The sequence below is a fragment of the Homo sapiens genome, chromosome 14 (assembly GCF_000001405.40).
Source record: "Homo sapiens chromosome 14, GRCh38.p14 Primary Assembly".
Lineage (NCBI taxonomy): Eukaryota > Metazoa > Chordata > Mammalia > Primates > Hominidae > Homo > Homo sapiens.
The window spans coordinates 57,831,628-57,854,164 of record NC_000014.9 but is presented as its reverse complement, the minus strand read 5'-3'; the positions used below and the strand labels follow the sequence as shown (position 1 = coordinate 57,854,164).

The 22,537-nt window shown below is 39.0% G+C and overlaps 1 protein-coding gene and 1 pseudogene across 13 annotated transcripts in view; both read left to right on the top strand.

Moving 5' to 3' along the window:
* The window catches only part of SLC35F4 (solute carrier family 35 member F4), a 419,262-nt gene that overhangs the window by 129,017 nt on the left and 267,708 nt on the right, over positions 1 to 22,537 (top strand). The gene's annotated exons all lie outside the window — the stretch shown is intronic.
* Positions 16,505 to 16,811, top strand: RN7SKP99 (RN7SK pseudogene 99; annotated as a pseudogene).

Genomic DNA, 22,537 nt, shown 5'->3' with positions numbered 1-22,537 from the left:
ATAAACTGTAGTGTAGTTACAATACAATTTTTTGTCCTGCTTTTTTTCCCACCTAACATTTCAGGATAAGCATTTTTTCACTGATTTTCATTTATCTGCTTTGAGAGGCTGGAATTGGATTCTCCTTTCAAGGATTTTGGCTTAAAGAATTTGGCAAGCTGGTTCTATGCCATTTGAGACTATGTAAAATGGAAAGATGTGGAGTATTAGTGATGGTTTGTTTGGTTTCTAGTCACAAGACTCCACTTGAACTAGCTGAAGCAAAATGGGAGCTATTGAAAAGACACCGGGGAGTCTCTCATGGGTTTGAAGGGGAGGGGTAAGATGGTATAGGCTGAAATCAGGTCCTGGAGGGCTGTGGGGAGAACAGGAAGACTTCTTGCTCTGTCTTTCATCTCTTTTTCTCTGGCACATGCTCCCCATTCTTGTCTCTTGCTTCAGGCTGGCTTTCTCTATTTCCTTGTCCAAATGGTCGAAAATAGCCACTGCCAGCAGTTCCAGCGTTTACGTGTCCTCTATTCAAGAGAGCAGACAGATTGAGCGAGAATCTCTTACTTCTAAATCCAGATTCCTGGGGAAAGAGACATTTTGGCCCAATTTATATCACATGCACACTCTTGACCCTATTGATGGTGGCGGTTTGGAGCAGGGTCAAGTTTCCCAATCATGGCTGCCAGAGGCCCTCTCCTGTAACCCTATTGACTGTATGAGGGAAGAGATGATAGTTTAGAGAAACAGGGCAATTGGTTTGACACTTAACTTAATAGCTATTTGGTTCACAGAACATTGCATTTTTTATATCAAATTATAGGCTTCAATCAAGATTCCATCTTTTCTCTCTTCTGGCCCTGAGAGCCCTTAGAGTGAATCTAGATAATATGTAATGAACTTATAGATACTGTATCATCCTAGAAACTGAGAAAATCCAAGTGTCTATTTAGAGTATAAGTCCTTGAGAATTCTGTTTAAGAGTGCCCATCTAGCACTGCAGACTACTTGTTAAGCTTCATTGAAGTGCCACTGGTTACATCAAGTTTGGAAAACGTATTTCTTTTTCTAGGTCAGATAGGGCAATACAACAGGTCTTTCCGATTCAATGTACAGTAATTGAGGATGACATTTAACATGGTATATTTAAACAGAGATTGAACATTACACTATCCTGCAGTCTGAGGTTTGCTATATTTAGACCTAGGCTAATGCCAAGATGGCACTAGTGAGATGTCAGTAATGGTTTCATGGTACTGAAAACCAGACATAAGAAGAATTCTTTATGCCTTGTGAAGCAGAGATTCCTAAGAGCGTTAGAGCCTTCAGGTTTTTCCTGCTAATATCTTACTAAACTCCAAGTCATGTGCCTTTGGTATCTATTTTGTGTTTTTGTTGAAGCCCATGTTCAGTTATAGGCATTCTAGAGGACAGATCCAAATCCAGTGAGTTGGAGGCTATTGAGGCACCATCTTCCCTGCTGGAGTTATGGTGACAGGGTCTGAAGAAGCGGTACTGCATCTAAAGTGACATTATTATTCCCACAGACTTTTTAGAACAAAGGTGCTTAGAAGTTAAGAACTTTTTGAAAATTGCAAGTGCTTGAAGCTGGAACTGCTTGTCTTGTTCCTTTCTAGTCCACATCTGTGTAGGAACCATGATCACCTTTCAGAAGCATTCACTGGATCATGCCATTCCTCTGGTTAAAGTCGTTAGTGGCCTCCTGTATTTCTTTGGAAAACTATAAAACTCTGAACGCAGCTTATAAGATCTTACAAGGTCTGATTCTTTAGCTGCCACCACACTTTCATGACCTTATTATGTTTTGGTTTTACTGGTTCCTGTTCCAGGCTCTTTCATTCATCTAAGATGATGAACAAGCTCTCCCCTCTTCCTGGTGGTGTGACCTGTCTGGCCCCTCAACATTCCTCAGGTCTCATATTAAGTGCCACCACCTCTGAGAGCCCTTTCCAGCTTTGCACCTCTATCATCTCATGTACTTTTTCTTTATAGCACTTACCACAAGTGGCTAATGCAATTTATGTTCACTTTTGTAACTGTTTAATGCTTTTCTGCCCATTAGATTCTTATGTCCCTAAGAGTAGGTAGGGATGGATCTATTTCGTTCAGCACCGTATGACCAGCACAAAGAACAATGCTTGGGCACTCCATAAATATTGGCTGGATGAGTGATTAAGCCTTGTTGAAAATATCAAATAGGCTTCTTTTTTCCAAGATAATATTTTTCTTTGGAATGTTTTTAAATTTTTCAGAAAAGTTGCAATGATAATACAGAGAGTTCCCGTAACCCCTCACTCAGCTTCCTCACTCAGTTAACACTTTTCATTAGCATGGTACATTTGCCAGAAATGAAGAAACCAACACTGGTGCGTTATAATTAATTAAACTCTAGATTTTATTTGGATTTCACCAGTTTTTCAATTAAGGTTCTCATTCTGTTCTAAGACCCAATCCAGAGTACCAGATTGCATTTACTTGTCATGTCTCTCAGGTAGGCTTTTAGTGCATTAAACTTGAAAAGTTCAATTTTATAGGAACTTCCTGGCACACATTTTAGGGCTTGGATCAGATTACATTTGAAAATTTAACTGCTAGTTTTCAAGGTGACTAAGGATTAAATTGATGTTTGACTTGACATCATAATTGCATACTAGTTTAGAGACTGTTTTACAGTGTATAACAGTGGTTTCTAGCATTTCTATGTTTAACATGTTGGAGATACAGAAATCTTTGAAAATCTGATCTATGAACTACTCACCTATCCCCCAAATGCACATATACACCAAACATTTTCATGCAGTTTATTACATTGGAAGTTTACTTCACAAGTACAGGCTATAAAATAATTCCACTGAGTTTTATCTATTTTTAAATTTCATAATAATGTATGCAAAATTTAATGGTAATATCTGGAAGATGGAAATAATTTAAATTTGTTAAAATATAAGTGAACTTTAGTTTTATTTAAAGGTAAATTTTAGTGAGAAAGCTCTTGTGGTTGGACTAATAAAAAGCTAAAATTTTGCAGTGGTCTTAGGCATGACAATGTGCATGACACCCAGTTTTCTTCAATGTGCTGGGAGTCTTAACACCTTCTAAAAATGTTGACTCACAAGGATATGAGATAGCAAATGAAATTAGAGATCTACTAGCTTTTTTGCAGGAAGAGGGTGGACATGTTTCAAGAAATGCCAGATTTCCTGATCCTACAAGTTGAATTAATGTCATATTATTTCATTAGTATTCAAGTCAATGAGATCATCCTTGAGGCAAGGCCTCAAAAACCATCCATGCAGTCTTTGTCTACAAGAAAAGAATGATGAATCCGTTTCAATGTTAAGGTCATCCAAGCAGAATTGTCCTTCAAACATATCCTGCAGTATACCTAGGTACCCTTGGATTGTTGGTCTACAGAGAAGACATTTTATGACACATCGTCACTCTGGATCCTTAGTTTTCTGAGAAACAGTGTTTCCAAAAGAACTTGCAGTTTCCAGCTGCATTATAATGGTGACTGTGAAGCTTTAAATGAAAAAAAGTATCATGTTATATCCATAAAGTAAGAAAAGCTATGAATCAGTTTCTCCTTACTGAATTGTTCTATGAATGGGCTTCCTTTTTTTCTCAAAAGTGATACAAATGTCTTCCCAAATGCCAGTTAAAGATTTCAATCATGGTTTCCAGAAGCAAAGCAGCTTCTAGGTAGTGAAGAAGAACTCCACATTTTCTTGATTAAAAACAAAATTCTTGAGGAGGTGATAATTTTGACCCTGGCTCTAATGGAGTTGACTTTTACTTTCAAGACAGTAGAATAGGTTTCTTGTAGGATTACTGACAGTATTTCAGGTGCCACTACATGCTGATGTGTAAGGCAGCAAGTCATATTAATGTGCAAAACTACTTTCATTTCCAAAGCAGCACAACCTACTTTTCTCCCCAAGTACAGTTTTGCTTGACGTTGCAACTTTTCATGTGTCCTAAAAGGCTTACAGAATAGATTTTATTTTTCAATGACATTCATATACACATACAGAGAGTCAGGAGTTAGAAATATTGTGAGATATCTGGTTGTTTGCTGAGGGGAAATTAGCATAGTGGCTGGTATCTTCAATATTTGCATCTAAATTATGGCAAATGGGCAGGTTTGGGGAGATAGTTTTATTTGATAAAGGCACTGCTTCCATCTTTATCTGTGGCTCCAGACTGCAAACCAGTGTATCCTTTACCAAGACGTACTGGTTTCCAAAGTTTCCTCAGGGGTGTGTGTGTGTATTCTTTTGCTTGACAGTCAGTTAGAATGTGATAGTCAGTTAGAAAGTAAAGAAAGCTCTGCTTATATTGGCTTAAGCAGTATGAATTTGAGAGGTATGGTTTCTGATGTAATGGCTGATGCTGTAATGAAGTACACAGGTTCTAACCTTTTCTCTCCTGTTTTCTATCCCTTTGTCTATATGTTGTACTTTATTTTTAAACTCTTCTATTAAGTTTTTCACTTCAAGTTTTATTAAAGTTTTAGTAGCTCTTTTGTTTTCTGAATATTTCTCTTAAAAATATAGCATTTTATTCTTGTTTTATGGATAGAATATCTTCTCTTATCTCCTTAAGGATATTAATACTATATTTTACAAAGTTTTCTTCCCCTGAATGGTCTGTTTCCTCCAAGTTGTTTTAAAATTTAAAAAAAAATTTTTGTGGGCTGGGCTTGGTGGCTCATGCCTATAATCCCAGCACTTTGGGAGGCCGAGGCAGGTGGATCACCTGAGGTCGAGAGTACGAGACCAGCCTGGCCAACATGGCGAAACCCCATCTCTACTAAAAATACAAAAACTAGCTGGGCATGGTGGCGCATGCCTATAATCCCAGCTACTATGGGGGCTGAGGCAGCAGGATCGCTTGAACCCAGGAGGCGGAGGTTGCAGTGAGCTCGAGATCATGCCACTGCACTCCAGCCTGGGCAACAACAACAACAAAATTGTTAGTCAGTATTCTTGGATATGTTGTGATTCTTTTTTATGTGCTTATATTCTAGAGTGAAGGACTCAAAAACTGTTTATAATCTGTGAGAATGGCTGAAGTGGTCAAGAACTATGAAGGGTCTGGCATTATATACCACTTTCAAATTATCAAGTTAGCATGCTACAGTTTCACAGATGCTGGCAAAAGACATGAGACTCTTGGGTCAGATTCAAAGGACTTTATTACTCACACTCCAGCAGGCAGCATGAATTTCATGTTTATGTTGGTTCCCCTTGCTCCCCAAGTTCCACGGGGACAATATGAAGTAACCAAGGTGGATCCTCAGCATGTATAGTAGGTTTGTGTGACAGTCGAGGAATCCTGAGCTTAGAAAATGCCAATCATTTATAACGGCCTACAAACAAACCTACCCAATGTTTGCCCCAGAAAGAGATGTTAGCAAACAAACCTGCCTTCTGTTTTTGAGGGAAACTTTATTTCTACCCTTCAAATCTGTTGCTTATCCAGGCTCTTGAAGCAATAGTTCAGAACAAAAAGCTGTCAGTGCCTGCACATGATATGTGGAAATGCAGGAAAGACTCATGGAGAATCATCTCCCAAAAGAGCTTGTCTATGATGACTCTACCGTTAATCAGCTGGGCTTTTTCCTTGGGAACCTTCAATATCGTTTTCTTAAGATCTGCTCCCTTGGCTCATAGAAGGCTTTTTGAATCTCCTGGCTTACCACCAGCATTCTGACAGTCAAGTAGGAAAGAAACCTGGGAGCCTCAGTGGGCAGCGTATACAGATTCACTCAATTCTTCCATGATTTTGGTATAGCACCGCAGTCTTCAACCATGCCTGGTGTCTCTGTAGAGTTTTGTTTGAGCATCTTCGGAGAATAAACCTCTGCCCTTTGCCAGGGTGAAGGGAGGTATAGTCAAATGCTGAATGAGGGTGGGGATTAAGAAGCCATAATGTTCCTTAAACAGGCTTACACAAGACTGCTGATTTTAGCCTTATTTATAGCAGTAACTGGTGCCACAATTTCCAGGCTTTGAGAAATTCTGCGTGGTAAATTAAACTAATTTCCATTTTCTCTACCCTCAATTTAGGTTTCAGTTTTCTCAGGCCTGACAAGTCATTTACTACTTTCTGGCTCCTAAAATTTTATAATTATCTTCTTTCCTGATTCTTCCGTTTTTATGGATTTATGCCTTTAAAATACATTCATCGTTATTTTAGTGAAACTTCCTGAATGAGCAAATACAGATGTTTGTATTCAATCTGTCATCTTTCAGATAGAATCATTGCACTTTCTGTTTTTATTACTCAGTATCTTCCAACTTTTACTACATTTACTGTAAACTAAGATAAATGGCATATTCATAGTGGCAGAGTACATTATTTTTATTTTCTCTCAGTGAGAAGCTACTTTAGATGTCACAACATGGGGGAAAATAATATTGTGCATTATCTGTTTCTTGATCTGACTGTTGGTTACATTGATACGTTTATGAAAATGTCATCGAGCTGTACACATAAGGTTTATGCACTTTTCTGTATGTATGTTATATTGTAATAAAACATTTACACTGAAAATTATACCTCACATGACCTTGTATTATAGGATATCATGGTATCCTGGCCCATTTTACCTTTGTTTATAATGAAACACTGAATTATAACTTAATCTGAAGAAAATATTTTTCAAATTTTCAAAGTAACAGAAGATAAAGAATTTTCAAAGTAACAGAAGATAAAGAATTACTTTTGTGTGTGTTTCCAGTTTACTAGCCCCTGAATGCCTTCTCTTATCCCTTACCAGTATAAGAAAAGTGGTTCTCAAGTTGCTGCTTATTAGAAACATCTGGGAGTGAAAAAAAATCCCAAGGCACAGCTTGCATTCCATACCAGTTAAAACAGACTACTGGGATTGAAACCCAGGCATCAGTACTTTTTAAAGCTCCAAGGAGATCCCAAAGAGCAGCCAAAACTATGAACAAGGGTCTAGGGCAGCATGTCTCAAACTATCTGGTTCTTTACCTAGCCAGTTTCTGTTTTTACATTTCCAAAACTCTGGCAAAATTAACAAAAATGAAATAGTAGAAAACATAATTATGCACTGAAATATTATAGTAGTGTCAACTTGCTATAAATATTTCTCAGTGATTACTCTCAATTTCTATATTTGTCATGGTCTGGTAACAGTTCATGGCCAGGACTATCTGCAGAGTGCACTTTGAGTAGCACTAGCTGTGGATAATCTGTCGCTTTCCTAGAACAAGCTGGGTATCCATATATTCCCTTCTCTGTTGCAAGAGTCTGTTTGGAGATTGAGGAGGGTTTAGGCTGGGGCCTATGGTATGTACTCTCACTAACTCTCTGAAACCCCCTGACACATTTAATCTCACTCTGATGCATTTCTGAGCTCTCAAAGCATGGGATAACGTCACTGTTAATAACTCATGAGTTTATTTTAGATTTTCCAAGTTTTGTTTCCCATCAGCCATATTAATTCAAGAAAAATTCTTGGCTACTAAAGTCTTGGCATGTGATCTCATGTATCTTAGTAGTGGATATGAACTTTAAGTTCTGTATACAAGTGAATTTCAGGGAAAAATTCACTAAAGACTCTCAGGAACAAAAATTGATTTTGTTTTCAATGATTTTGCACTATATGCTAAAATGCAATGAAAATTGTCCTGTGACTTGGGCTAGAATCTCGGAAAAACGACTGTTATTTCATTCAGGGGCCTATGGAGGCTGCCTGGTTTGTTTGTTTGTTTGTTTCAGGACTGAATAATCTGCTAACCAAACACACTTGGCCCAATATTCAGGCAACATGGAAATTTATCCTTGTGGAAGGAATCCCACTGGGTTTATGACTCATGGAATGGAAAAAGAGGTTTGGAATTGGCAGGATCTTCATCCTAGGGAGAAATTCCGAATGGTTTGGATGAGTGTTCTGATTTGATCATGTTACTCCCTTCTTTTGGGGGCCTTATTTCAATAATGATGCAGTGGAATTTTAGTTGAGGCAGATTATCTGATTACCTTGGTCTAAGACATCTCTTGGTGTTTTTTTCCCCTTCCTTTCTTACCTGTTTCAGAGGAGATGACATACTTATGCTTATTAGAGAATAAAAGGCCATTCCAGATGTTAATTCCCTCTCAGTGCCTTGTGCAGTATTTAATAAAGCTGTCTTCAATGGCCTTATTACTCATCTTGACTTCTGTTACATTCTGATTATATTTGCTGGGAGTGTAGAATTTCATGGTGGCTCTCCTAGTGTGTAGGGCTGTCTCCCAGGAAAGAAGTGAGAAGAGAAGGGGATATGCCCTTTGACTTTGGACTTAGGTACCTCTCTCAATCCAGTTTGATTGCTTGATAAAGGATGGAAAATGGTGGCAAAGCATATAACATACTTGGAGTTTAGAGTTCTATCTTTTTAAAAAATATTTACACTTGATGTAAAGATCATGCATGTAAAACCCCAGCACATACAGCTTCTGACATATAAAAGCTTATTAGGGAAGAAAATCAGGAATGAGAATCTCAGCTTATGCTAAAACTTAACACAGTTAACTTTCCTGTGGCTTTCAATAGAAAATTATACCCAAATAGGCACTGTATACAGTCATAGTGGGATTGTAACCAATGTAAGCCTGAATTGTTTGCAGAGTAATGTTTGAGGCTTGAATAATAAACCATAGCACACAAAGATTTGGGATGTAAATTCTCAAGAATGCTACAACCTCTCTCCGACAGTTGTATGCATTTTACCCTTGCCGAAGCAATAGCATATACGATTTCATTATAACTCACAGCCACTCTGTGTAGTGGGTGTTATTACCATGTTAGAGATGAAAAAATTGAGGCTCAGAGAGGTTACCTTGCCCAAGGGCATAGCTACCAGGTGTCAGGGCAAGGATTTGACCCCAGAACTGTCTACTGCCCAAATCCATACTCCACTAGAGAGAGTAACAAGCAGTCAAAATTATAAAATTTCAGATCCTCCCATGGCTCAGTTATTTTTCCTCCTCCTGAAGTTCTACAGGATGGTAATAAACTTTCACTTTGTTTTTAGTAGGGTACCCTTAACTTGCAATGTGCAGATCCAATAAAGGGCTTACTTCCTTCTCCCCGAAAGACTGAATTTTACTTCAACCAGATGCTGTGTCTGAAGGCTCTTTTTAGAAAGAAGAAAAGAGATTGAACAAGATGGCCTTAAGATTTTGTATGTGCATGGGGGGGTGGGGGAAGAGACAGAGACAGAGAGAGATAGATGGAGGAGAGAGACAGAGAGACCCCTCTACTAGTAACAAAGGTCCAGTTGGTGTCTGGAATCTTACAGTTTTCTATGGACAGAGGGCGGAGGGCAGTGAAGAGTCAGGACAAGGGGATGCCCGCTCCTGATCCCAACTTGACTCCTTCGAGGTACCTGGATATCTTGCGGGGCTATTCTTCTGGTCAGACAGAGGAAATCTTGCTTCCAAAAGGCAGCTTTTCCTGTTGAGAAGAATTCTCTATTTCCTGCATCTAGAAGGTAAAAAGAAATAAGCTTATGTGGGGACAGAAAGAGAGCAAGTTGTCTACTCCTGTGGCCAAGTAGAAATGCCTGTAATTTTGAGTTATGTGTGCCTGACACAGTATAGGAGAACAATATTGGTGGAATTATGATCATACATCAGTCTTACTGTCAGTGCTTCTTTTAATATTTAATGAAATTTCTCTCGCTATGATTTAAATCATTGGAATGCTGACCCTGGTGTTGCTAAAGTTCTCTTCAGAAACAGAAGTCCAGCATTGCTTCAACATCGACCCCATTGGTCTTACAGTCTTGCCCCGTGTTATTCACACCACTACAAGCCTTTATTAAGACCTCTATCACATGGAAATGCAAGTGTGATTGCCCTGATGCTTCATTCCAGCTGGGGTTTGAGCATCCTTGGTTTCACCCCCATGCTTGTTTCTGACATTTCTGGATATTTCTGACATTAGCTGGGCCTTTCCAAATTCCTCAAATGTGTCATTAATAAGATCAGTAGGTTTTTAAAAGTGTTAAATCTCTTGTATTTATGCTTACTGGGTAGGTAACTATTTACCTTTCAAGGTAATTTTTTCCTACGATTTCTATCTTCAATAAAAATTGAACATAAATTGCTTGGGGGAGTACAAGGGAAACAAGATTGGTCACGAGGCTGATATTTGCTGTGACGAGTACATGTTCATGTAGCAAAGCTCAGTAAAGAGCTTTTAAAAAGCTCCGCAGATGACTCTCTCTATATATATTTTTGATTCTGGCTACTTAATGGAAATTAAAAACAAAAACTGAATTTAAGAGAAGATACCAGGGGGTTATAATGTCCTGCAGAGATATTAAAATTGTTTGGGGATTTTGAGTATGCTACAGGAACATCATATTACTTTGAAAATCTGATGAATAAAAGTACAGTTTCAGTTTATTTTATTATAAAATTAAGATAAATGTTCTGAAAACATTAAGAAGAAGTCCAAATGGGGATAAGCCATGCTTCAAAACCCTTCGTCTCCAGTCTTTTAGAACTTTCTCTTAGTTGCCCTGGAAACCAAGAGAAAGTTGGTGGTAGTTTAGGTGAGATTATCTTTTTGTTCCTCACAATACCCAGACACTCCCAACTTGTCAAGCTGAGTTAGGGAAGAGGAGCTCTGGCCCTGTCCTTTGGGTGCTTTGCCAAGTAGAAATGAAAGACTCCCTTCTCAGCACTCTTAGGACTAAAACTTTCCTCCACCAGCCCAAACAGAATTGCCATCAAGGTCACCTCATTCCTCATTACCCCCATAGCCTGCCTATGGAGGGGTGGCTCTGGAATGACAATATTCAGTCAGGATCCTGGCAGGAAACAGATACAAACTCAAACAGGGCAATTAGAGGAAGGACAGTGTATCAGTCAGGGTTCTTTAGAGGGACAGAACTAATAGGATAGATGTATATATGAAAGGGAGTTTATTAAGGAGTATTAACTCACATGATCACAAGTGAAGTCCCACAATAGGCCATCTGCAAGCTGAGGAGCAAGGAAGCCAGACTGAGTCCCCAAACCTCAAAAGTAGGGAAGCCGACAATGCCTTCATTCTGTGGCTAAAGGTTCGATAGCCCCTGGCAAATCACTGGTGTAAGTCCAAGAGTCCAAAACTGAAGAAATTGGAGACTGATGTTCGAGGGCAGGAAACATCCAGCATGAGTGGAAGATGAAGGCTGGAAGACTCAGCAAGTCTGCTCTTTCTACCTTCTTCTGCCTGCTTTATTCTAGCCATGCTGACAGCTGATTAGGTGGTGCCCACCAGATTGAGGGTGGGTCTCTCTCTCCCAGCCCACTGACTCAAATGTTAATCATCTTTGGCAACACCCTCACAGACACACCCAGGAACAATACTTTGCATCCTTCAATCCATTTAAATTGACACTCAATATTAACCATCACAGGTGAGCAGGGTGTAGGGAAGTCCAAAGAATTTCAAGCCTTTGAGCTGGTAGTAGCCGGCTGTGAGAGTGCAAGGGAAGGGAGTGATTCCCAAAACATGGAGAGAGAGGTGGTTGTGTGGTGAGGGCAGCCTGACAGCATCTGTGTTAAGCAGTGGATGTCTGCAGTTTGCTATGATCTTTCAGAGGTGTAGATATCACCACAGCATTCTCCTCTCTCCCTCCCATGTCTGGTGGGTGGCCAAACATCATGGAAATCAAAGAGCAAGGCGTCCCATCATTGAAGACCCCATAGCTTAGCTTCTAGGGCACAGAGTAGGATGGAGAAGGTTGGGGAGTTGATCTGGAGAGGCAAACAGAATATCTCCAGCACTCCAGCAAGAGGGTATCTCTTTTTAAGTTTAGCTGGCTTGACTATGCCCCATTTCAGAGTGCCCTTCCATGGGAGAAATAACTAATTTCCTCATGTAACTCACTTAACTGCTATGAACTGATATATGATGGGAACTGAAAATGTGAAGGAAAAAATATTTTGTGAGTTTTTTCTAATAGCCTAGATGAACCATCAGCCATGTTATTTGTTTACTATTTATTACTTTTTAAAAACATGGTTATTTTTCCATCCTTTCCCACACTCTCAGCATCAACTGAATATAGCCCAGCATTTCTGTTATAGACAGAAGGATGAGAAAACAATTCAGTATATAGAATTACCTATTGTGAAGAATTTGCTTTAATCAGAAAAGTGATCATTATACTGCAAACATCTGATGTGACACAGTGATAACTTCGTGTTCCAACAATTTCCATTGTTTAATTTCCAAATATCACAATATCTGACATTCAGCACATAAAAAATTTTAAGTATTTAGCTAATCTTTTATTCTAGCTTTCCATTTTTTTTTGTTTGGGTAGAGTCATATACCAGGTTTTTAGGATCATGAGCGATATCTTGCACAATGTGTTTACTCCTTGTAATGATCTACGTGGCTTGTAGTTTCTGTAGATTTATAATCTCCACTGCCAAATTTAAGCATTTGACCTTCACCTGTAGATTTGCACTTCACCATAGTCCCTGGCACCAGTTCTCTACCTTTAGGGCACTGGAATTGGGTGAAACTGAGGATCAGTAGGCCAGTGGATACCAGATTCAGTACCCTGTTAGCCCATCAAAGGTCTGGTTCTAATCATGTGCCTATTCCAAGTACAGAGTCGTCTTTGTTTCCATTTAACCAAATTCTTTCTGTACTCTACTGTCAGTGAGTAGTTTGGGCTTTCTAAGAAAAAGTTGGATTTCCACTTAACCCACTTCCACAATCGCTATTTTAGTTTTCTGGTTCATACCTCTGGGACTGGTGCTTTGTCTTAATGTCCAACCTAGGTCTTCTTAGGAACTAGAGACCTGCCGATGAATCCAAACCCCTTTTGCCTGGTCTCTACTACCTACTACGAGATTTTCTGGATCACAACCTGCTCACCCTCTGGGCTCTTCCCCCATCACCTGGGGCTCAAAATCCCTTGATCTCCTGCTTAGCCCTATGTTCCAATTGGTGTCCAGGTATTAGCCATGCCCTGTACAGCTAGGCATTCATTGTGTACATGTTGCTGATAATTGATAATATGGCTTTCTACTTATTCTCCATTGCAAAATCTAGTCATAAACAAGATTGCTAGACTGTAGATGAGCTCCATGGGGATAAGGGGCTTGCTACTGTCAGTGTCTGAAAGAGTCAGCCCTCATTTTAAAAATTAAATGAAAAAGGAATAAATAAAATAGTGCCTCAGATGAGAGATTCTTAATCTAACAATATGTGCATAAATTGATGTGCACTTTTCTGAGGTGCTTCATAAGGTTCTTCAGATTTTCAGTGGTACTCATGGACCTCAAAACATTAATAACCATGGCTTAAAATGTATACGTAAGAAAGGAACATGTGATTTGCTCTTTTAAAAACATTCATTATTTGGGGGGGATATTTGGGTGTTATATAGCAGTGTATTGAGAAATATTGACACCAAAAATTAATTAGGTGGTCTTCAATCATGAGTGATAAGGTTTCTGTTTTGAAATTAATAATGAGGTGGTCTGATGGTTAACCTTTAGCTCTTTAAAATGAACGAGGATGAGAGGTACTCAGATTTTGAGAGCCTACACCCATGGGAATCAATGTCAAAGCCCGTTTCCTAGAAGTCTCATTTAAGTGTTTCCACAAGTATAGCTTGTACTTTTTTCCTTCTCCAGAAAACCTAATTTTCTGATAGTGAAATCTTTATCTTATTAAGTTGCTGGGTAACAAAGCTTGTTGTTCATTCTATTTTCAGCTACTTGGTATAGTCTCTATGACAAATTTAATCTATTGGAGCTCAAGTCAATATGCCATTACTTTAAAGTCTGTGAGTATTAGTTTATGCTATTTGTGACTGAGGGCACAATGCCTGGCATTAGGTGGCACTCAAATATTCAGAGAATTAATGGTTATCCTTTGTTTTGGATGGCAGTGTAGTGAAGTGGCTGTGAAAAGCATTTATTTTGAATCAATGTACTCTTGAGTTTGAATTCCAGCTCTTGTATCTAGCTTTATGACTTTGGAAATATGAATATTAAAAGTTCTCTCCTCCTTGGATTTTGCGAGAATTAAAACAGAAAATATGTGTAAAAAACATTAAGCACGGTGCCTGGGGACAGAGTAGGCACTCAATAAAATGTATGAATGTTATTATTATTAGTGTCATTATTAGATCACTCATCTGGATTGCTTGTAGAAGACTAGAATGAAGTGTGCATGTTTTGTTTAGGTCTTAGGTAAGAAGTCTGGGGCGTGTTTTGGACATGCTGTAGAGTGTTGATAAAGTTCTTAACTCTGGCTCTGCATCAGGATCTCCTGTGGAATATTTAAAAAATACAGATGCCTGGGCTCCAATTCAGGTCCCTGGAGCTGTGTCCTGAGCATGTACATTTTTTTCTGCAACTTTTTTTTTAAAGTTCAGGGTTACATGGGCAGGGTGTGCAGGTTTGTTACATAGGTAAACATGTGCCATGGTGGTTTGCTGCACCGATCCACCCATCACCTAGGTATTAAGCCTAGCCCCCATTAGCTATTCTTTCTGATGCTCTCCCTCTCTCCCCGCCTCCCTGAAAAGGCCCCAGTGTGTGTTTTTCCTCCCCACTCCCCGCTGCCCCTCATGTGTCCTTATGTTCTCATCATACAGCTCCTACTTACAAACGAGAACATTCAGTGTTTGGTTTTGTGTTCCTGTGTTAGTTTGCTGAGGATAACAGCTTCCAGCTCCATCTATGTCTCTGCAAAGGTCATGATCTCATTCCTTTTTACAGCTGCATAGTATTCCATAGTGTGTATATGTGTGCACATTTTTAAAAAGCTCCACAGGTGATTCTGATGCAGGCCGGGTCAAGAATCACTGCCATCAATATTACATAAAGAGCAACCGAAGGATAAGAAGTGAAGAAGGAGTGGAGTTTTCTAATATTTGACCTATCTTGGTGCTGAACAGGAACAGAGAAATATTGGTGAATAATGAACCTGGGCTTTGGAATCCAGAGTTTGAATTCAGCTAATTCACTTTCCTACTCTGTGGATACTAGATTTTAAGCCCCAGAGGTCAGGGGCCACATCTGTCTTTTGCATGTAGGTATCCCTAGACTGACATTAAATGACTTAACCTTAAGACCCCTGTGTCCTTATCTGAGAATTAATTTATATGACATATGGGTACCGGTATGGCAATATGAGCTCAACAAGTGGTTACTGTTTTTTTGTGTATGTACATATGGCATCCTCAAATATGGTCCCTACCTATTTTTTATTCATGCCATTCTCATGTGAATTCTCTATTCCAGCCATATGGACTGATTTACTAATCCTTGAAATAATCCTGTATTTTCCTGCCTTTTGCTTTACAAATATTCTTTACCTCTCTATATACACCTATAATCTCCCTGGCCCACAATGTAAAGTGATCATTCTTAAAAAAAAGTTCTTATAGTTGCATTTATGTTGGTACTTGATCATGGGCTATTTGGCACTTGATCACGTGCTACTTGTATCTTTTTTCCTATTTTGAGACTGAACTGTCATGTCTCTTATTGTTGTTGAGCTTTCCTTGCTTTTATATATATAGCTCCTCAGCTAGACTGTATTTAAACAAACATTGGACCTCAAAGGCAGAGACAGTACTAAATTATATTTCATGTAGCAAAGCTCAGTAAAGATGTGTTGATTTGGGAAAAAATGATTTGACTGTATATATTTTTTTGACTCCTTTTTCCTTCACAGGTTTTTGATCACAAAGTTTTTGTTGAAACTCAGACATACGTATTGCTGGCCCCTGACTAGAAGATAGTTTGAGCACATAGAATGTTTAGGGAACAAGCTATGATTTGGGAATTCTTAGGTTTTGAGAAGTAGGATATATTCTCCTTCTTTCCTGTTTGCCTTCTTGGGGATCTCCCATTTGCTCTTGAAGCCTCACCTCTGTTCTCCTCGCTTTTCCAAAACCTGCCCAGGAAGAGTGGGTTCTTTTTCCACCTGAGCTCATAGAACCTTTATTATGAAACATTGCTTTGTATCTCTTTGTTTATTCATTTATTTCTCCACTGGCCTCTGTGTTGCTAAGGACATTAATTTTGTCTTGGTCATCTTAGTATCACCGGCATTAAGCATAGTACTTTACCTATAGGAAGAACTGATTAACCACTGAATCAGTGTAAAAGCACGGGACTCATATTCAAGTTGTAGATACAAGATATGGCAAAAAGATGGTAACCATAAAACGGAAAAGCATGTCAAAAATGTGGTGCTTTCCCTGTATGAAAGGGGAGCCATGGAAGATATTTGAATGTATGTGTATTGGGGAAGGGGAGGTGAGCAGTATTCTGAAAAATGTCTTATTTTGGCATTTCTTGAAGAATTGGTAATTTATTCACAGAAAAGAGTGCTTATGAGGAAGGACGCTCTAGAACCTGGCACAAAAGCCCCTTTCTAGGGAAGATTGGCTTTGGAGAAGTGGGGGGTATCTTGGGTGACAGTGATGGTTCAAGAAATGATGGTATGATATGTGACGGTCATCAGGATGTGACATCAGTCACCTCATTGATAGCAAGGTTCTATTCAGCCGGGTTGGCTAGGTTAAGTCCCCTTCCTCTCCTATACGCACGTGTGGTCCCTATCCCAGAAGCTGTGAGATTGGTCAAAGCAAGTGGTCTTTCCAATTGGAGGAGGTCTACCCTTGGTCAAAGGCATGCGAGTCTGTATGCTCCCCTATTGGAGCACTAGGAGAACTACAGTATTTGAGCCAAACAAACTTTCAAGAAATTTGAAAGTGGCTCAGTAAGTTGTGGGACATACAGGTTGTCCGTTTCTCCATCATACCTCCCTTCTGCTCTTTTCGCTGCTAGAAAAATTCTTCGCAATTAGGAATTCCATCAAGCCCTAAATTCTTTGATGATTCCCTGTAACAGTGTCTCTTGAAGTGTGGGACAGATATTCCTGGTTAAATGCAAGATTTAGGTGGTACTCAGACATGGTGTTAAATAATTTTAAATTACACAGTGAAAAATTTATTTCATTTTAAGTTCCCTTTCAATCCTTCTCCTTCTGACAATGAGGATGTATAAGTGGAAGACCAGTGTAACATTTTCTAATCTCAGTTTTTAGTAAGGAGAAGAGCCTTCAAGCTAAGTGTTCCAATTACAAGCATATCATGCCATAATGTTAATAACATTTTCTTTTAAAAATTTGTGGCAAATTATTTCAGTTTTTAATATATGACAGTGATGTAAAATTTTAATGTTCTGGATGTAAGATGATATTTAGGAATTGTTATTAATTTTTTTAGGTGTGATGATGGCGTTATAGTCATTATCCTTTACAGATACAAATTATATATAGATGGAAAGATATAATGTCTGTGATCTGCTTAAAGTAATTCAGGAAGGGTGTGCTTGTGTGTGTGCTGATGGAGGTGGAGGTAGCGGTGGTGCTTAGGGGAGTACAAAGGAAACAAGATTGGTCATGGGCTGATATTTGCTGTGCTGAGTACATGTAGATTAATTATACTATTGTCTCTATTGTGTATATTTCAAAGTTTTCATAAGGAAATGTTTGAGTTAAAATAAAATTTCAGGCCGGCGCAGTGGCTCACACCTGTAATCCCAGCACTTTGGGAGGCTGAGGCAGGCGGATCACGAGCTTAGGAGATCGAGACCCTCTTGGTCAACATGGTGAAACCCCGTTTCTACTAAAAATACAAAAATTAGCTGGATGTGATGGCGCATGCCTGTAGTCCCAGCTACTCGGGAGGCTGAGGCAGGAGAATCACTTGAACCAGGGAGTCGGAGGTTGCAGTGAGCTGAGATCGCGCCACTGCACTCCAGCCTGGTGACAGCGAGACTCCATCTCAAATCAATCAATCAATCAATCAATAAAATAAAAAATAAAATTTCAATGTTAAATAAGTTGATTAATATGGAACAATAAGTGAGTTCAGAGAAAAACTATTAAGCAAATAAGAATAATATGGGTGGTATGTAGGTAAGTCATTAGTTAAACTACTGAAGTCTGCAAAACACTGGCTGCTGGAAAACATTCAAGCTTCTCATTGAGAAATCAAAGGTCCTTCCTGCTACAGGCCTTTCTCACCTCCTTTCTTGCCACTTTGGATTGCAATAATACCAGGTCACCGGTAGTTCCTAGTGTGCCATCCTCTCACAACCTGCATCTTGATGCAGATGGTTCTGTTTCTTGGAATGTTTCCCAAATGTGTTGTTTAGAAAATTCCTGCATTCTTTAACTCTCAGCCCAAACAATGGAAATTAAAAGAAAGGAACATTCTGAGAACTCTGAAAGAGCTGAAATCATTTGGAGACTAGACATGGCTTGATGCCAGAATAAGAAGGAGCCAAGGGTAACACTTAGGTTTTAACATGGCAACTTTGACAGACTAGCGAGGCTGGAAGGAGAGAGGTGTTCGTGGGTGATCAGTGCTAAATTAAATTTTAGGCATGTTGAGTTTGGCCTGTCCTCCAGGACTCCAAATTATTACTAGCAGCAGAAACTGGGCAGGGGTCATTCCTCTCCAGCCAACTCTTGAGTCCTCAGTAATTACATGACAGAAATGTTATAGAGTCCTTTTGCTCCTCTTTCTCTTTCTTGTCAGTCACATTTTGCGTATTGTTCTGCTGACAATGAGAAAGAGCAAAAGAAGGGAGAGGATGTGAAAAGCAAATCAGTCATTTGTTGCTTTTTAGGAGTGTTGAGAAAGTCTTGGGGGTTGGGAGAGTTAGAAACTGTTGATTTATGCAAATTTTTCCATTATGACTGACTTCTGATTATATTTCCCATCCACTGTTTTATCTGACTTCCAATTGTTGAGAAGTAGCTGTATTAATGTGGCTTCACCACAGCTTGTGAACTGCAAGGACTCACTGGAGACATACTATAGGACCTACTTGGACTCTGTATCCTTCCAAATGAGTTGGTGTCTGGTGAGGAGGAACAATATGATTACAGGATCTGAAGGAGATGGGAGGGGCCCTTTTCTTCAAGCACGGGTTGCCCCATGGGCACAGTGAATAACACTGGTTCTATTTTCATGTTTCTGTGGCAAACAGCAACTTCTGTATTGGTCTGTTAATACTTCAACCATTCTAGTTTGGTTATTTTTGTTTTGTTTTGTTTTGTTTTTGAGACAGAGTCTCCCTCTGTTACCCAGGCTGGAGTGCAGTGGTGCGATCTCGGCCCACTGCAATCTCTGCCTTCTGGGTTCAAGCAATTCTCCTGCCTCAGCCTCCTGAGTAGCTGAGATTACAGGCATGCACCACCATACCTAGTTAATTTTTGTAGTTTTAGTAGAGATGGGGTTTCGCCATGCTGGCCATGCTGGCCATGCTGGTCTCGAACTCCTGACCTCAGGTGATCCGCCTACCTCGGCCTCCTAAAGTGTTAGGATTACAGGCATGAGCCACTGTGCCCGGCCTATTTTGGTTCTCTGAGAAGCAATTTTTATACTGACATGCTGGATAGGAAGGATTTGATCTAAAAATAACATTGTTCTTTCATCATACTGGGACTTCCATTAAGTGAATGACGGTTTAGTTATACCATTGTCCTTTCTAACACCTGTCCTAATATCTCCCCTCCCTTCACTGGCAACAGAAATTAGGTACCAGTTCTACTGAGATGTTTTGCAATTGTCATCATTTTACTTTGTAAGCAAAAAGCATGTTTTTCTTTGTATTTCAAACTAAGGAATGCATGATTACCACTTTGGACCTCCTTGTGAGCATAAGATTTTACACTATTTGCACTGTAATAATTTATGACATTTTTATAGCTTACTGTTAGGGCTTGTACAAAGTAGAAGGAATGAATCTGTAGAGAAAAAAGAAAAAAATGAACACACCAATGTGCTGTAGTTATTCAGTGAAGTGCAAAATCTTGCAGGAGTTAGTTTTGTTTGAAACAGATTTTACTTCTCAGTACCCACTCTTTCTCAATTTTTACCAACTCAGTCCTTTTGGTGTTGACATTTTGTACTCTGGAGTTTTAAGATGTCATGCTTCATGACTTGTTCTCTGGGAAAGTGTTTCTTCTTGAAATGTCGGGTTGCTCTCATCTTAGGTGGAGTTTGGGGTCAGCCTTTGTTATTATTTTAATTTATAGACTTTTAATAATGAGGGTTGTTTCATTTGTGTTTCACTTAATTCAGCACAAGGTTTTGTAAATAGCCTCAGATTTATTTTAACATGTGAAGAGAGGGAACAAAAAGATTCCTATGGTAAAATTAAACATTTTCTCAAATTGAGGCTGTTGCTTGGTTTCTGTTCTTGTTAACGTGCATTTAAAAAATTATTTTCTGTGAAGCTAGTCTTCATAAAGGTGATTTGTGAATATATGAAAATGCAAGAGATGCACTAAAGTTGCAGTCTCCATGGTATATTTAAATATGCCAACAGCTACCCTAATGAGCAAATTTAGCATTTATCCAAATTGGAAAGCCAACGGGAGATTAGCTATGGCCATGGCTGGAGTCTGTATTCAAATATTCATTTGATATTGGTTGTAACTCCGGTGTATCCTCCTGATGTTGTGGATAGATTTATGCCTGTCAATTGAGGAGAGCATTTCTCACTCTCTGATATGCATCTGAGTCACCCAGGGGAGGTTTTTTGAAGTGAATGTCTCCCAGGCCTTGAGCCCCAGAGATTCTGAGTCAGTCATTCTGGGACAGAGCCCAGTCTTCTGTGTTTTGATTCATCAGAATCACCTGGGGAGCTTTTACAACATACCGATGGCTGGGCTCTATCCCAAAACACTGACTCAGATCCTCTGGGGGTGCAAAGCCTGGGTAATCTGTACTGATTTTCAGAAAAGAATGAAAATACCAAAATTATCTAGCAGAGATGGTCCTTTACAAGCATCATTTAATGTCACAGGATGTGCAGAGCTAGGGATAGGGTTAAGGTAATCTCATTAGGGACCGTGAAAGAATATGAGAATTCTGTCTGTCTTTAGTGAGATTGCCTTGCGATTAGATGATAACAAGGATGATGATGGTGACAATGACAACAACGTGACAGTAAGCTTTATACCAGTCATGCTTTTACTAGCTCTAAATAGAGAACTTTTGTTCTTGTTCTTTATGCATATGTGATTTTAGTTTGCCTAATTAATGTTATTTCAGGGACACCTGCTCTCGTGTTCCTACAATATTTATCATTAAAGAAATGAACAAATTCTCTAGCAATTATGAGGACTTGGAAAGAATAAAAGTACCCTGGGTCGTGTTGGCTAGGCTGACAGAAAATAATACCTGAAATATTTCACCACGTTTTCTCAAGGGCAAATTTACTGTAATGTGAAAAAATTTTTTATCAGTGAGTGTAATTTTACACATGAATTACAGTTCCAGCATTCTATTTTCAATTGCTATGTTTACTGCATCAGAAATGTATAGGGAATTTGTGTTCTCTTTTCCCTCATCTCATTTGTAGAGCCAGAACATGCAAAAATTGGAGTTGGTAAAAGTATTGTGCTAGGAAGATCAGGACTTTAGTTATCATTCTCTGTTTATTGTTTCTAATAAATTGTATTGTATATATTTGAGGTTTACAACACAATGTTATGGGATACATATAGATAGTAAAATAGTCCTGTCATAAAGCAAATTAACATGTCTATCATCTCACATAGTTACTTCTTTTTGTAACAAGAAAAGCTAAAATTTATTTATTAACAAAAATACAATATAATTTTCTTAACTATAGTCCTCATGTCATACATGAGATTCTAGGCTTGTTCATCCTACATATTCTTCTTCTATGTATTAATCTGTGACTTTGGACAAGCTACTTAAAGTCTTAGGGTCTTATTTTCCTCATGTATAAAGTGTTAATAATTTATCTGAAGGCAGGTGACTAGAGCAGTTAAACTCTTGAAGCCCATTCTGCTGCAAGTTCCTGTACTGAGTCTGCGGAAGGCAGAGGTGTGGCTAAGGCAACGTCAAGTGATGTGGGGTGGGCCGGGAGGGAGGGGCTTCAGAGCTCAGGAAGGCTGTATGTGCCTCCTAGCGTCCTTCAACCCTGGCCAACTTCTCCAATCTTGCTCCTGGTTGCTATGGTTTTTCCACATCTTCTGGTTTGTAGATTCATGAATTTATTAAATAATACGTGATAAAGCCTCAGTGGGACTCCTGAGTCATTTGTGAGGGATTAAAGACAATTTTACAGAGTTCTTTGCTGGCTTGGAGAGTTGCAGTGCTCAAAAACATGACTTGTGAAGACACGGATATACACTTATGATTAGGAAGCATTTTAGTAAAACATTCATGACTATTTCCTGCATTTCTATGGAAAAATAAATTCAATCACAGTAGGGTTTTTCACTTCATTGCTTATTAGAATGCATTCTTCTGCCTGGATAATATAAAGATAAAGTTAATGTTTCTTCTGTTTTGCAAAGGTGTTATTGGACCCACAAATATGCTCTGGTCTCTCAAGGAGAAAAAAGCTCCAAGGTTTTCACTCTTTAAATTACTGAAATAAAGGGAAATGATTACATGGTAATATTCCCTCTTGCTGCTTGAGA